Source organism: Homo sapiens, chromosome 5 (assembly GCF_000001405.40).
Source record: "Homo sapiens chromosome 5, GRCh38.p14 Primary Assembly".
Lineage (NCBI taxonomy): Eukaryota > Metazoa > Chordata > Mammalia > Primates > Hominidae > Homo > Homo sapiens.
Window position 1 is genome coordinate 40,841,102 of NC_000005.10, and position 16,448 is coordinate 40,857,549.

The 16,448-nt window shown below is 41.9% G+C and overlaps 1 protein-coding gene across 3 annotated transcripts; it reads left to right on the top strand.

Moving 5' to 3' along the window:
• The first annotated feature begins 265 nt into the window (after positions 1 to 265).
• On the top strand, positions 266 to 14,253 carry CARD6 (caspase recruitment domain family member 6). 3 transcript variants are annotated; one of them, NM_032587.4, is made up of 3 exons: positions 266 to 564; positions 2,051 to 2,608; positions 11,073 to 14,253. In NM_032587.4, the coding sequence occupies exons 1-3, from the start codon at positions 282 to 284 to the stop codon at positions 13,343 to 13,345; spliced, it is 3,114 nt and encodes a 1,037-aa protein (NP_115976.2). In that variant the 5' UTR covers positions 266 to 281; the 3' UTR covers positions 13,346 to 14,253. The 3 variants fall into 3 exon arrangements, with proteins under 3 accessions (NP_115976.2, XP_016865478.1, XP_047273792.1); XM_047417836.1 differs by lacking the exon at positions 266 to 564 and adding an exon at positions 3,794 to 3,909 and having other exon boundaries at positions 2,533 to 2,608; XM_017009989.2 differs by lacking the exon at positions 2,051 to 2,608.
• Positions 14,254 to 16,448: the final 2,195 nt, after the last annotated feature.

A 16,448-nucleotide genomic window follows, 5' to 3' on the forward strand; every position in this document is an offset into this window, starting at 1 on the left:
AGAGCGACTTCTTGGAGGAGGTGACCCTGGGTCTGAGTCATGGTGAGAATTTATCAAGACTTCAAAAGAGCAGATAAATAATCCACAAGGACCCCGGATCAGAGAGTGCTCCGAGCTGGGTTGCCCCACTGTGCTTGTATCTGCACTCTCCAACACTAGGCATCATTGACATGTTAAAGCTTAGCCAAATAGAATTGTTCTTTGTCATTCTTTTTTTAACTTTTACTTATTCATTAGGATGATTTCATAATATATTTCCTGGTTTAGAGGAAACAGGAACAATGGCTACCGAGAGTACTCCCTCAGAGATCATAGAAAGAGAAAGAAAAAAGTTGCTTGAAATCCTTCAACATGATCCTGATTCTATCTTAGACACGTTAACTTCTCGGAGGCTGATTTCTGAGGAAGAGTATGAGACTCTGGAGAATGTTACAGATCTCCTGAAGAAAAGTCGGAAGCTGTTAATTTTGGTACAGAAAAAGGGAGAGGCGACCTGTCAGCATTTTCTCAAGTGTTTATTTAGTACTTTTCCACAGTCAGCTGCCATTTGCGGCTTAAGGCATGGTAAGTTGACTTTGTATACTTTTTGGGGTGAGAGGAAGGGGGCAGACTTTCTGAAAAAGAAAACAAAATGAAAGAAAATTGTTGCCTTTTATTTTTGTTAGTCTTTTTCTGGAGATAATTTTCATTGAAATATGAAATAGGGAAAAACTGGAATTTAAAAAGTTTCTGAAATTTAACATCTTATTGGTCTACTGAATCGATAATTTGTTTTTCAGACTGTACTCAAAACTTGAAGTTGTTTTAGTGCTAACAAACTGCTCATTATTCTGGCAGTAACATGCTAAAATCTCACAGTTGGAAGGAAAATACTTTAATAATAACACAATCCAGGGTTTGTTTTTCAAGTAGATGAATTCGTGGATATTTACAGTGCCAAGACCACAAGCTGTATCTTTCACTTAGTATAGCCGTTTTGAAAATACAAGGAAAATAATTTTTAACACATAGATGGCAAATCAGTAGTTTCATTTTTTTGGTGATAAGAATGCCAGCAGCAGCTGTTTTCTGGAGCAATTCCAGTGCTAATTCTTAAATGGTTCAAAGATAACTAGTAGTCCATGAAAAAGCAATTCTTCCAGTTATTTAGCAATTCTGTAAATTACTACTAGGACTAGGTCTAGCTCTTTTTCTAGGAATCTAAAAAAAAATTCAAAATTATTTTAAGGGATGTTAGAGAGGTAGAGGCTCAGATAAAAAGGTGAATGTTAGTGATACCTAATTTAGGACAAGATTTATATGCTTAGAAATTTTTCTTTTATTATTTCTAAAGCACACTATTCCAAATAGAGCCATTTGCTTACTGATTAGAAATTATTTGTGATCAGATTTCATTAGCAATGACCCCAAGAGACGTGAGTCTGTTGTGAGTCACAGTAAGTCCACAAGTAAACACTGTTCATATGATTCAAATTTTTCGTTTTATTCACTTACCCTGTAAGGTTGCTAGGAAGGACTCAAACTTTAAGCAAGACAGTGGTGTGATCTGATTTTTTTTTTTAGTGGAAAAAAGAAAGTTCTGAAAGTTGACATGTTGACATGCAAGTTATATAGGAGGTGTTAGGTATTCCTGTCCTCCAGTGAAATAAGAGGTGGCTGGGCGCTGTGGCTCACACCTGTAATCCCAGCACTTTGGGAGGCCGGGGCAGATGGATCACCTGAGGTCAGGAGTTTGAGACCAGCCTGACCAACATAGTGAAACACTGTCTCTACTAAAAATACAAAAATTAGCTGGGCATCATGGCGCATGCCTGTAATCCCAGCTACTTGGGAGACTGAGGCAGGGGAATCACCTGAACCCGGGAGGTTGAGGTTGCAGTGAGCCCAGATCGTGCCATTGCACTCCAGCCTCGGCAACAAGAGTGAAACTCTGTCTCAAAAAATAAATAAATAAATAAAAGGAGAGGGATGAAGCTTTGAGGCCTCAGGAACTCTAGCTGTTATACAGCTTCTTTTTCTTAATTGGGAAAAACAATTCTTTTCTTTGCAGAAGTTTTAAAACATGAGAATACAGTACCTCCTCAATCTATGGGGGCAAGCAGTAATTCAGAAGATGCTTTTTCTCCTGGAATAAAACAGCCTGAAGCCCCTGAGATCACAGTGTTCTTCAGTGAGAAGGAACACTTGGATTTGGAAACCTCTGAGTTTTTCAGGGACAAGAAAACTAGTTATAGGGAAACAGCTTTGTCTGCCAGGAAGAATGAGAAGGAATATGACACACCAGAAGTCACATTATCATATTCAGTTGAGAAAGTTGGATGTGAAGTTCCAGCAACTATTACATATATAAAAGATGGACAGAGATATGAGGAGCTAGATGATTCTTTATACTTAGGAAAAGAGGAATATCTAGGATCTGTTGACACCCCTGAAGATGCAGAAGCCACTGTGGAAGAGGAGGTTTATGATGACCCAGAGCACGTTGGATATGATGGTGAAGAGGACTTCGAGAATTCAGAAACCACAGAGTTCTCTGGTGAAGAACCAAGTTATGAGGGATCAGAAACCAGCCTTTCATTGGAGGAGGAACAGGAGAAAAGTATAGAAGGTATGGAAATATCTTGTATAGTTAGTTAGGCAACAACTTAATAAGTTAATAAGCTTGCCATGACATAATGGGGATGGGGGATGAAAAAGGGACAGATGTCAGCAGAAAATCAACTACTAAGAAATTCCTCGTGCCTCTCTGACCTGGAATCTCCTCGAGGTAGGTGTTGACTTAAAGGAGCTCCCAGGACCTAGGAAATGATGGACAGCATAAGCAAAAGTAAATATTGATTGTCAGTTTGTAAATTTCTGTAGTTCGTATAAGGAGTTGCCAATCATTAATTTCCCATTATACGTACGAGGAGTTGCTAATCATTAATTTCAGGCTAACCTATTTCTCAGGTTAAACCACTTTAGTTATTTTAGTGCCTTTGTGACCAGAGAGATATGGGGATTATGGGTTTGACTATTTAAGTGAAAACAGTCAGTAAATGGCTAAGATCCCAAAATATTGTTACTTGGCTTGATCCAGTCCACATAATGCCATCTTGATGAGAATTATATTTGTATCTTGAATCTGAATATTTCTTTATTTAAAAAAAATTTGTTTTTAAACAGGGTCTCACTCAGGCTGGAGTGCAGTGGCACAATCATGACTCACCGCAGCCTCTACCTCCCAGGCTCGGGTGATCCTCCTACCTCAGCCTCCTGAGTAGCTAGCATTACAGGTGCCTGCCACCACGCCTGGCTAATTTTGTATTTTGTAAAGATGGGATTTTGCCATGTTGCTCAGGCTGGTCTCGAACTCCTGGGCTCAAGTGATCTGCCCACCTTGGCCACCCAAAATCCTGGGATTACAGGTGTGAGCCACTGCACCTAGCCAAATCTGAATATTTCTTAATGAAAATTCAAAATATGAGAAGTGTTTCATTGGAGTGATATTGCCTGGGAAAACAGACATCACTAAGTTCTGAGTAGAGGATGAAAATGTAGCTACCATCTCACATTAATTTCAAATCTTGGGGACTCATAATCCACTTATGGGTAGGAAGAGAGTCATTTCTTCCTCATCACACCTTGTATCAGTTTGTGAGGGATGCTGTAACAAAATACCACAAAATCAGTGGCTTAAACAATAAACACAGATTTCTTGTCTCACTCTTTTGGAGGCTAGAAATCTGAAATCAAAGTATCAAAGTACTGACAGGGTTGCTTCCTTCTTTTTTTTTTTTTTTTTTTGAAACAGAGTCTCACTCGTCGCCCAGGCTGGAGTGCAATGGTGTGACCTTGCTCACTGTACCCTCCGCCTCCCGGGTTCAAGCGATTCACCTGCCTCAGCTCCCCAGGTAGCTGGGATTACAGGTGCGTGCCACCACGCCTGGCTAATTTTTGTTGTTTTAGTAGAGACGAGGTTACACCATGTTGGCCAGGCTGGTCTCGAACTCCTAACCTCAAGTAATCCACCCACCTTGGCCTCCCAAAATGCTGGGATTAAGGCATGAGCCACTGTGCCTGGACAAGGGTTGGTTCCTTCTGAAGGATGTGATCTGAAGGATCCTAGCTTTCCTGGTGGTTTGCTGGAAATCATTGACACTGCTTGGCTTGTGCAAGCATCCCTCTGATATGCCTTCACCTTCAAATGTCCTTGTCCCTGAGTGTGCACCCCTTTGGCCAAAATAAAAAAGGACACCAGTCATATTGGATTAGGGCCCACCCTAATAACATTATTAAAACTAATTACATCTGCAATGGCCCTATTTCCAAATAACATCACATTCTGAGGTACTGGGGGTTAGGATTTCAACATATGAATTTTGTAAGGGACATAATTCAACCCATGCCTCTTGCCCCACCCCCAAATAACTTCTTAATACATGATTATTTTGGGGCCCCATTCTTAATTTTTATTTATTTATTTTAGTTGGTGCATAGGGTTGAATTAATTAATTCATTGCATAGTATCATCATTATTCTGCAAAAATCCCCTGTTTATCTATTCTGTTTTTTTCTCCATTTCCCATTTACCTTCTTCCGTAGGTAACATTCTAATATTGCAGTGCATCTCTTACATATTGTTTGGTTTTCATGAAATTTTTTTTCTGTATCAGGTACTGACTGGGTTTCACCACGTTGCCCAGGCTGGTCTTGAACTCCTGGCCTCAATAATGCTACATAACAAATCATCTGAAAATTCAGTCACTTCAAACACTGAGAGTTTATTATTGTTCACATGTCTGTGGTTGGCTGGGCAGTTCTGCTGGTCTTCCCTGGGTTCACTCATGCATCTGTGATGAGGTGGTTGAAGGCTGGTCTCTCATCTTCAAGCAGGCTACTCTGGGCTTGTTTTCAGAATAGATGCAGTATATTCTTTTTTTTTTTTTTGAGATGGAGGCTCACTCTGTTGCCCAGGCTGGAGTGCAGTGGCATGATCTTGGCTCACTGCAACCTCTGCCTCCTGGGTTCAAGCGATTCTCCTGCCTCAGCCTCCTGAGTAGCTGGGATTACAGGTGCCCACTACCACGCCTGGCTAATTTTTGTATTTTTAGTAGAGATGGGGTTTCACCATGTTGGCCAGGCTGGTCTCGAACTCTTGACCTCAGGTGATCCACCCACCTCGGCCTCCCAAAGTGCTGGAATTATGGACATGAGCCACCGCGCCTGGCCAAGTATATTCTTATGATGAGGGTAAAGGAGAGAGAAAGGGAGAGAGAGCAAGGTGGAGGGGGGGAGACAGAGAAGTAGTGAAGGCCTTTTGAGTCTTAGCTTTAGAACGATCATCATGCCATCTATGCCATCTGTATCTGTTTCCTAGGGCTGCTGTAACAAAGTACCACAAATGAGTGGCTTTAGAACAACAAAAATTTCTTGTCTCACAGTTCAGGAGGCCAGAAGCCTGATATCAAGGTATCAGGAGGGTCATGCTCCCTCTGGAGGTGCTAGGAAAGGATTTGTCTCAGGCTTCTCTCCTAGCCCCTGGTAGCTTCGTGCATTCCTTGACTTACAGATGGCCATTTTCTCCCTGTGTCTCTTCACATCATCTATCCTCTGTGCATGTCTCTGTGTCTAAATTTTTCTTTTTTATTAAGACACCAATTATACTGATTTAGGCCCCCCTCCATGACCTTATTTTAACTTAATTACCTCTGTAAAGATAAAGATGCTATTTACAAAATAAAGCCACATTCTGCATTACTGGGGGACTTCATATCTTTTTGAGGGGGACAAAATTCAACCCATAACACCATTACTTCTGCCACATTCTGTTGACCAAAGCAAGTCTCAAAGCCAGGTTTAGGGTTGGGGGAAAACAAGTTCTACTTCTTGCAAAATAAGATAGCAAAGACTATGGATACCAGAAAGCCATTAACTGGGGACATTATTACAATCAGTCTAACATCTTTAGTAAAACAGATCAAGAGAAGTCTTAATAATAATGTAGTTATGATCTGCAATGTAATTCTAATGGCTGCCCATCCACTCTAGTTGACTGGAGGCACGTGGCTATTCTTTGTTTCTTTCCCAAGTAATATTTGTCTGTGCAGCTGAGAAATGAAAAAAATAGTTCTAAATCAAAGGAAGGTCTTCATGCTCTTTGTCATGTGAAATTTTATGTAAAAAATATCACAGTGTCACAGTCTCAGAAAGGCTTAAACTATTGCCTTGTGTGCTCTGCACTATAGAAGTTCAACTTGTATAGACAGTATCAATTGACTCTCTTCCCCCTCCAGCTTGTTGTTGGGTTCAACCATTGGGTGGAACCAATATGTTTACCTTTCCCTGTGGCCTTTCTTTTTTCCTGAAGATCCAGGTTTTCATTTTATATTATTTTCCTTTAGCCTGAAAAATTTATTTATTTTTTCTCTTAGTACAAGTCTGCTGGTGGTAAATTCTCTTAGTTTTTGTTTATTGAAAGATATTTTTATTTTGCCTTCATTCCAGAAGGTTGCTTTTGCTGGATATAGGATTCTACAACTTTTGCCTTTAACATGTTATGGATGCCATTCCTCTGTCTTTTAGCTTCCATTGTTTCTGATGCTAAATCTTCAGTCATTTTATCATTGATCCTCTGTAAGTGCTGTGTCATTTATCTCTGGTTGTTTTCAAGATTTTTTCTTAATTTTTTTTGAGCAGTTGACTCTGATGTGTCTGGGGTGATTTTTTTTTTCTCTTAGTGTTTGCAGAGTTTCCTGAATCTATACAAAAACTTTTAATCAAATTTGGAAACTTTTCAGCTGTTATTTACCGAGATTTTTTTCTTTCTCACTTCTTCTCTTCTCTCTTTCTGAGACTTCGAGTACATGAATTTTAGAGTTTTAAAAATATTGTTCTACAGGTTCCAGAGACTTTGCTCAGTTTTCTTTAATATTTTTTCTCTCTGTTCTTCAGGTTAGATATTTACTTTCTTCTGTCATCTCCAATTTGTTGTTAGCCCATCTAGTGATTTTAAACAAATTCATATATTGTGATTTTTAATTCCAGAATTTCCTGTTTAAAAATACTTTATATTTTTTTCTGAGAATTCCTATTTAATCATTCATTGTGGACTTACTTAATTTTAATTGTTTTTTTTTTTTTTTTTGAGACAGAGTCTTACTCTGTTGCTCAGGCTAGAGTGCAGTGGCACAATCTTGGCTCACTGCAGCCTCAGTCTCCTAGGCTGAGGCTCAAGCCATCCTCCCACCTCGGCCTCTCAAGTAGCTAGGGCTACAGGCACAGACCGCCAGGCCTGGTTAATTTTGTATTTTTTGTAGAGACAGGGTTTTCACGATGTTGCCCAGGCTGGTTTTGAACTCCTGGGCTCAAGTGATCCTCCTGCCTCAGCCTCCCACTGTTTTGGAATTACAGGCATGAGCCACCATGCCTGACTGTAAAATTCTTATATGCTAAATCTAACATCTAGGTCATTTTGGATTCAGTGTCCATTGAGTATGAGTTACATTTCTTGTTTCTTCCTATGTCTATTAGCTTTGGATTGTGTTCTATCCATTGTATATAATAGGTCATAGAGACTCTAGATTGTTATATTTCTCCCAAGAGTCTGAATATTATTTTAGTCTGTTTTTGTCTCCAGTTAACCTAACTGTATTTAAATTCAAAATTTAGACTCCTTTTCCATGGGTGGCAGCTGAAATCTCTGTTTATTTCTTTTTGCCTTAGCTGAGTTATTTTTATGAATTTTTAATTTATAAAATTGAGATTAGTTTCCTGATATTATTGCTTACTTTTTTCACCTAGCTCTGTGCTTAATTAGATACATCTCTGTTTTGTGTGTACATCTACTCTGTTGCTTTGATCTGCTCCATAGTGACACTGTTATTACCTTGTCGACACACCTGGCTTGGATCCTGTGGGTATTGATGTCTTTCTTTTTTTTTGAGATGACAGGCTGGAGTGCAGGGCCACAATCTTGGCTCACTGCAACCCTGCAACCTCCACCTCCTGGGTTCAAGTGATTCTCCTGCCTCAGCCTCCTGAGTAGCTGGGACTACAGGCACCTGCCACCACACCTGGCTAATTTTTGTATTTTTAGTAGAGACGGGGTGTCATTATGTTGGCCAGGCTGGTCTCGAACTCCTGACCTCAGGTGATCTGCCGACCTCATCCTCCCAAAGTGCTGGGATTATAGGTGCGAGCCACTGCACCCAGCCATGGGTACGAATTTCTGGCTGAAGAAGTAGAGAATTGCTTTCCTAAGGCAAAGTATGAGACAGGAAAAAGCAGAACTTAAAAGCTGTCCTGCAACCTATTCTCTCACTGCTTCCTCTGTGAACTCTTTCTTCATGCTAGATTCAACTTCCCCCTCACCTTTTTGCCCCAACACATATATCAGTTCAAGCAACTTTGAGACTACTCAAGGGCTTCTTATAGTTACTTTTATTAATTCCTAAAATCTATGCTTTTCTCTTATTTCTGTTGTTTCTTCAAAGCTATTTTTAAGGGTAATTTTACATTTTTACACTAGCTGGCCGTCTGTCAGGAGTAGAAAATCTAGGCTGATCTTCTCTCTCTGTTATGTACTATCTCTGTATTTATAAGATGTAGGTAGGCCAGCCAGGGTGGCTCATGCCTACAATCCCAACACTTTGGGAGGCTGAGGCAGGCAGATTAATTGAGCCCAGGAGTTGAGACCAGCCTGGGCAAAATGGTGAGACCCTGTCTCTACAAAATGAAGAAATGAAAAGTTAGGTGGGGTTGATGGTGTGCACTTGTGGTCCCAGCTACTCCAAAGGCTGAGGCAGGAGGATCACCTGAACCCAGGAAGTTGAGACTGCAGTGAGCTGAGATTGCACCACTGCACTCCAGCCTAGGTAACAGTACAAGACCCTGTCTCAAAAAAAAAAAGTAGGTAGAAGATAGTTTGGAAAATGGGAGATCAGGAAAAATTAGGTATAGCATGTAAACTCCGAGAAAAACTTTGAAGGAAATAAAATCTTCAGTTCCTGTAAACTTCAGCAAGAGATAAATTTAAGAAAGAACCAGTATCGGCCAGGTGCGGTGGCTAACGCCTGTAATCCCAGGACTTTGGGAGGCCGAGGCAGGCGCATCACGAGGTCAGGAGATCGAGACCATCCTGGCTAACATAGTGAAACCCTGTCTCTACTAAAAATACAAAAAATTAGCCAGGTGTGGTGGCACCCGCATATGGTCCCAGCTACTTGGGAGGCTGAGGCAGGAGAATCGCTTGAACCCAGGAGGTGGAGGTTTCAGTGAGCTGAGATCGTGCCACTGCACTCCAGCCTGGGTGACAGAGTGACACTCCATCTCAAAAAAAAAAAAAAAAAAAAGCCAGGCACAGTGGCTCACACCTGTAATCCTAGCACTTTGGGAGGCTGAGGAGGGTGGATTGCCTGAGCTCAGGAGTTCGAGACCAGCCTGGGCAACACAGTGAACCATCTCTACTAAAATACAAAAAAAAAAAAAAAATTAGCTGGGTGTGACGGCGGGCGCCTGTAGTCCCAGCTACTCGGGAGGGTGAGACAGGAGAATCACTTGAACCCGAGAGGCGGAAGTTGCAGTGAGCCGAGATCGAGCCACTGCACTCCAGCCTGGTGACAGAGTGAGACTCCGTCTCCAAAAAAAAAAAAAAAAAAAAAAAAACCAGTATCAACCTAGAGTATTTCTCATAGATGTATATAATTTAACATTAATAAATTTTTTTTTCATTGCTGCATGTAAATGTTAGCACATTTTTTTAAATAAAAAACCTAAATGATCATCCATAGGCAATTGTTAAATAGTTACATCCATCCAAACCATGGAGTACCATGAAATAGCTAAAATGAGTTAGGTAGATCAGTATATATGCTGACTTGAAATAATTTGCAAGGAATACCACTAAGTGAAAAGAAGCTGAAGAATCATTTGTTTAGTATAATATCATTTATGTAAAAAAAAATAGCATGGGCTGGGCACGGTGGCTCATGCCTGTAATCCCTCATTTTGGGAGGCTGAGGCAGGTGGATTACTTGAGGTCAGGAGTTCGAGACCAGCCTGGCCAACATGGTGAAACCCCATCTCTACAAATACAAAAATTAGCTTGGTGTGGTGGCACATGCCTGTAATCCCAGCTACTCGGGAGGCTGAGGCTGGGAGAATTACTTGAACCCAGGAGGTGGATGTTGCAGTGAGCTGAGATCTTGCCACTGCACCCTAGCCTGGGCAACAGAGCCAGACTCCATCTAAAAAAAAAAAATAGAATCTACTAAGTAAAACTATATATTTCTATATATGCATGCATACTTAAGTACTTGCATAGAAAAAGGATGGGAAGCAAACATACTGTACCATATTGATATCTCCCCTAAAAACGAAGCTGACTTGCCAGAATGGTGAAAGGAGACTTCCACTTTATTTATATTGTTTCAGCTTTTTGCAGTGAAAATGTAGATTAGACCGGGTGTAGGGGCTTATGTCTATCCTAGCACTTTGGGAGGCTGAGGCAGGCTGATCACTTGAGTCTAGTTCAAGACCAGCCTAGCCAACATGGTGAAATCCCATCTCTACTAAAAATACAAAAATTAGCCGGGCATGGTGGCATACACCTGTAGTCCCAGCTACTTGGGAGGCTGAGACACAAGAATAGCTTGAACCCAGGAGGTGGAGGTTGCAGTGAGCTGAGATGGCTCCATTGCACTCCAGCCTGGGTGACAGTTTTCTTTCAAACTCTGCCTCAAAGCAAAAAATAATGCAGATGACTTAATTTTAAAAGTCAGGCTGGGCACAGTGACTCATGCCTGTAATCCCAGCACTTTGGGAGTTTCGCTTGAGATCAGTTCAGAGTCAGCCTGGGCAACATAGAAAGACCCCATCTCTATTAAAAAAAAAAAGTAGCCAGGCATGGTGGTGGGTGACTGTAGTCTCAGCTACTTGGGAGGCTAAGATGGTAGGATTGCTTGAGCCCAGGGTGATGATCATGCCCCTGGATTCCAGCCTAGGTGATGGAGTGAGACTGTCTCAAAAAAAGAAGTCGATGGGGAAAATTGAAACTCTGAACATGGCATTCACTATTATCTTCTCTCCTACAGAAAGAAAAAAGGTGTTTAAAGATGTCCTGTTATGTTTGAACATGGATAGAAGCAGAAAGGTTCTGCCAGATTTTGTTAAACAATTCTCCTTAGATCGAGGATGTAAGTGGACCCCTGAGAGTCCAGGAGACTTAGCCTGGAATTTCCTGATGAAAGTTCAAGCACGAGATGTGACGGCTAGGGATTCAATCCTCAGTCACAAGGTTCTGGATGAAGATAGCAAGGAGGATTTGCTGGCTGGAGTGGAGAATTTGGAAATTCGAGACATACAAACCATTAATCCCCTTGACGTGCTTTGTGCCACCATGCTGTGTTCAGATAGCTCTTTGCAACGCCAAGTCATGTCAAACATGTATCAGTGCCAGTTTGCTCTTCCCCTGCTACTGCCAGATGCAGAAAACAACAAAAGCATCTTAATGCTGGGGGCCATGAAAGACATTGTGAAGAAGCAGTCAACACAGTTTTCAGGGGGGCCTACAGAGGATACAGAAAAGTTTCTGACTCTCATGAAGATGCCTGTCATCTCTTTTGTGCGTCTAGGATACTGTAGCTTCTCTAAGTCCAGAATCCTCAACACACTTCTCAGCCCTGCCCAGTTGAAATTACACAAAATCTTTCTTCATCAAGATTTGCCTCTTTTGGTGCTTCCCCGGCAAATCTCTGATGGCCTGGTTGAGATAACATGGTGTTTTCCTGATAGCGATGATAGAAAGGAAAACCCCTTTTTCCAAAAGCCTGTTGCTCTGGCTAATCTCCGTGGAAATCTAGAAAGCTTTTGGACTCAGTTTGGTTTTTTGATGGAAGTTTCTTCAGCTGTGTTTTTTTTCACTGACTGTTTAGGTGAGAAGGAATGGGACTTGCTAATGTTTTTAGGAGAGGCTGCCATTGAAAGATGCTACTTTGTTCTCAGTTCCCAAGCCAGGGAGAGTGAAGAGGCTCAAATTTTTCAGAGGATACTGAACTTGAAGCCAGCACAGCTACTGTTTTGGGAGAGGGGAGATGCTGGGGATAGAAGGAAGAACATGGAGGGCCTTCAAGCTGCCCTCCAGGAAGTGATGTTCTCTTCTTGCCTCAGATGTGTGTCTGTGGAGGATATGGCCGCCCTGGCCAGGGAGCTGGGGATTCAGGTAGATGAAGACTTTGAAAACACTCAGAGAATTCAAGTTTCCTCTGGAGAAAACATGGCTGGGACAGCTGAAGGTGAGGGTCAGCAAAGACACAGTCAGCTAAAAAGCTCATCTAAAAGCCAGGCTCTAATGCCAATTCAAGAGCCTGGGACTCAATGTGAGCTCAGCCAGAATCTTCAGAATCTCTATGGTACCCCAGTATTCAGGCCTGTTCTAGAGAACTCCTGGCTCTTTCCAACCAGAATTGGAGGTAACTTTAACCATGTTTCCTTGAAAGCCTCCTGGGTTATGGGCCGCCCCTTTGGGTCAGAGCAGAGGCCTAAGTGGTTCCATCCTTTGCCTTTTCAGAATGCAGGGGCCCAGGGCCGAGGTAAAAGTTTTGGTATTCAATCCTTCCATCCCCAGATATTTTATTCAGGTGAAAGATTCATGAAATTTTCCAGAGTTGCTCGGGGATGTCACTCGAATGGAACATTTGGGAGACTGCCAAGACCCATTTGTCAGCATGTACAGGCCTGCCCTGAGAGACCACAAATGATGGGAACTCTTGAAAGGTCTAGGGCAGTAGCCTCCAAGATAGGTCACTCCTATTCCCTGGATTCACAGCCAGCAAGAGCAGTAGGGAAGCCATGGCCTCAGCAAGCTTGCACCAGGGTAACAGAGTTAACTGAAGCAACTGGAAAACTGATAAGAACATCCCATATTGGAAAGCCTCACCCTCAGTCCTTTCAACCAGCAGCAGCCACACAAAAACTAAGACCTGCTTCTCAGCAAGGAGTCCAGATGAAGACACAAGGTGGGGCTTCAAATCCAGCTCTCCAAATAGGGTCCCATCCCATGTGCAAGAGCTCTCAGTTCAAATCCGATCAGTCCAACCCATCCACAGTCAAACACTCCCAGCCTAAACCCTTCCATTCTGTGCCCTCTCAACCTAAATCCTCTCAGACAAAATCCTGTCAGTCCCAGCCCTCCCAAACTAAACCTTCTCCATGCAAATCTACTCAGCCTAAGCCAAGCCAGCCCTGGCCTCCCCAGTCTAAGCCTTCTCAGCCCAGACCCCCTCAACCTAAGTCATCCTCAACCAATCCTTCACAAGCTAAGGCACACCACTCAAAAGCAGGGCAGAAGAGGGGAGGGAAGCATTAAAGAGCTAACTCCAGAGATCTATAAAGCATATCCTTTACCCAGGCCATTCCTATCATATAGTAAGCAGAAGAGTTGCCATGAAAGTAAAAGACTACTGTCATTAGCATGTAAAACAAAGAAAGATATACATGACTGAATTGGATATCTTTGTTTGTTTGTTTGAGACAGAGTTTCACTCTTGTTGCCCAGGCTGGAGTGCAATGGCACGATCTCGGCTCACCGCAACCTCTGCTTCCTGGCTTAAAGTGATTCTCCTGCCTCAGCCTCTCGAGTAGCTGGGATTACAGGCATGCACCACCACACCCAGCTAATTTTGTATTTTTAGTAGAGGCAGGGTTTCTCCATGTTGGTCAGGCTGGTCTTGAACTCCCGACCTCAGGTGATCCGCCCACCTAGGCCTCTCAAAGTGTTGGGATTACGTGTGTAAGCCACAGTGCCCAGCCCGAATTGGATATCTTTAAGATATCTGTAAGTGTTATATCCCTAACCAAGAAGAAAAATATGAAAATAATTAAGACTAGAATCAAGCAGTAGATAATTGAATCCAATCTTGGGTATTATTAGATAATGTATAACTTGCACCCAGGGAATGGGGGTCTATGAGACAACCCCACTTGGAGAAGAATGGGGTTAGGGTCTCTAATTGCAAAGTGACTGTACAATAGGACGAAAGTTGCCTCTGTGTCTGAGAAAGTATCTTAGTTGTTGGCTGCTCCAGAGGTATCTTTGTCAAAAGCTTCTGGTTCAATATCAGCCACTGAGCAGATAACCCTGCTTATTTGGTGTGGTTAAATCAACTAGCTTCTGCTAATAGCCCCAATTTGCTTGAATGGGAAAACTCTCTCATTTGACCCTTATAGGTAGAAATAATGAATTAACAACCAATAAAATTAATCATTTGGCATTAACTTTGTGAAAGATCTATGTTTGTTTCATATTTGATATGGTTTGGCTCTGTCTCCACCCAAATCTTATCTCGAATTGTAATCCCCATGTCCCTCAGGAGGGACCAGGGACCTGGTGGGAGGTGATTGGATTATGGGGCCGGTTTCCTCCATGCTGTTCCTGTGATAGTGAGTGAGTTCTCACGAGATCTGATGATTTATTTTTATTTTTTTGAGATGGAATCTCGCTCTGTCACCGAGGCTGGAGTGCAGTGACATGAACTTGGCTCATTGCAACCTCTACCTCCCAGGTTCAAGCAATTTTCCTGCCTCATCCTCCCAAGTAGCTGGGATTACAGGTGTCTGCCACCACACTTAGCTAATTTTTGTATTTAGTAGAGATGCAGTTTCACCATGTTGGCCAGGCTGGTCTCAGACTCCTGATCGCAAGTAATCCACCTACCTTGGCCTCCCATACTGCTGGGATCACAGACATGAGCCACCAAGTCCAGCCGAGATCTGATGGTTTAAAAGTGTGCCACTTACCCCCTTGTTCTCTCTGTCTTCTGTCGCCACGTAAGACATACCTTGCTTCCTCTTCACCTTCCATCATGATTGTGTTTCCTGAGGCCTCCCCAGCCATGCAGATCTGTGAGTCAATAACTTCTTTCCTTTATAAATTACTCAGTCTCAGATAGTTCTTTTTTTTTTTTTTAGATGGAGTCTTGCTCCGTCACCCAGGCTGGAGTGCAGTGGCGCACGCCGATCTTGGCTCACTGCAACCTCTGCCTCCTGGCTTCAAGCGATTCTCCTGCCTCAGCCTCCCAAGTAGCTGGGACTACAGGCGCCTGCCACCACGCCTGGCTAATTTTTGTATTTTTAGTAGAGACAGGGTTTCATCATGTTTGCCAGGCTGGTCTCGAACTCCTGACCTTGTGATCTACCTGCCTCAGCCTCTCAAAGTTTTGGGATTACAGGCGTGAGCCACCGTGCACGGCCTCAGGTAGTTCTTTATAGCAGTGTGAAAACAGACTAATACAATAGTTTAAATATTTGTAATAGTTAAGAAAATTGGACTTATTAGAGGGTCTGGTATTAATATACTAATACCTCATGATTCAAATTTAAAATGTTATTGAGTTTTCTTTTTTTTTTTTATACTTTAAGTTTTAGGGTACATGTGCACATTGTGCAGGTTAGTTACATATGTATACATGTGCCATACTGGTGCGCTGCACCCACTAACTCGTCATCTAGCATTAGGTGTATCTCCCAATGCCATCCCTCCCCCCTCCCCCCACCCCACCACAGTCCCCAGAGTGTGATATTCCCATTCCTGTGTCCCTGTGATCTCATTGTTCAATTCCCACCTATGAGTGAGAATATGCGGTGTTTGGTTTTTTGTTCTTGCGATAGTTTACTGAGAATGATGATTTCCAATTTCATCCATGTCCCTACAAAGGACATGAACTCATCATTTTTTATGGCTGCATAGTATTCCATGGTGTATATGTGCCACATTTTCTTAATCCAGTCTATCATTGTTGGACATTTGGGTTGGTTCCAAGTCTTTGCTATTGTGAATAATGCCACAATAAACATACGTGTGCATGTGTCTTTATAGCAGCATGATTTATAGTCCTTTGGGTATATACCCAGTAATGGGATGGCTGGGTCAAATGGTATTTCTAGTTCTAGATCCTTGAGGAATCGCCACACTGACTTCCACAATAGTTGAACTAGTTTACAGTCCCACCAACAGTGTAAAAGTGTTCCTATTTCTCCACATCCTCTCCAGCACCTGTTGTTTCCTGACTTTTTAATGATTGCCATTCTAACCAGTGTGAGATGGTATCTCATTGTGGTTTTGATTTGCATTTCTCTGATGGCCAGTGATATGTTAATGAGTTTTCAGTTTTAGAGTTGTAATTTTCTTAAGTTAAAAGATAAGTTTACAAAAAACATTGAAATGTTAAAGAGAACTTAAGATTCACAAAATTTATACTTTTATTAGATTCATATTATTCTAAACATTTGGGTAAATTCTGCTTGTTAGAGGCATTAAGGAAAAATAGTGTATTAAATTTAAAATATTTAAGTCACATTTAGTTAACTAGGTTTGTAAATGACATCAAATATGGATAAAAGGACACTTTAAAAGTATCTGTTAAAAGTCACTAGATTAAGAATAAAATAATAACATTTATAAATTGAACTTA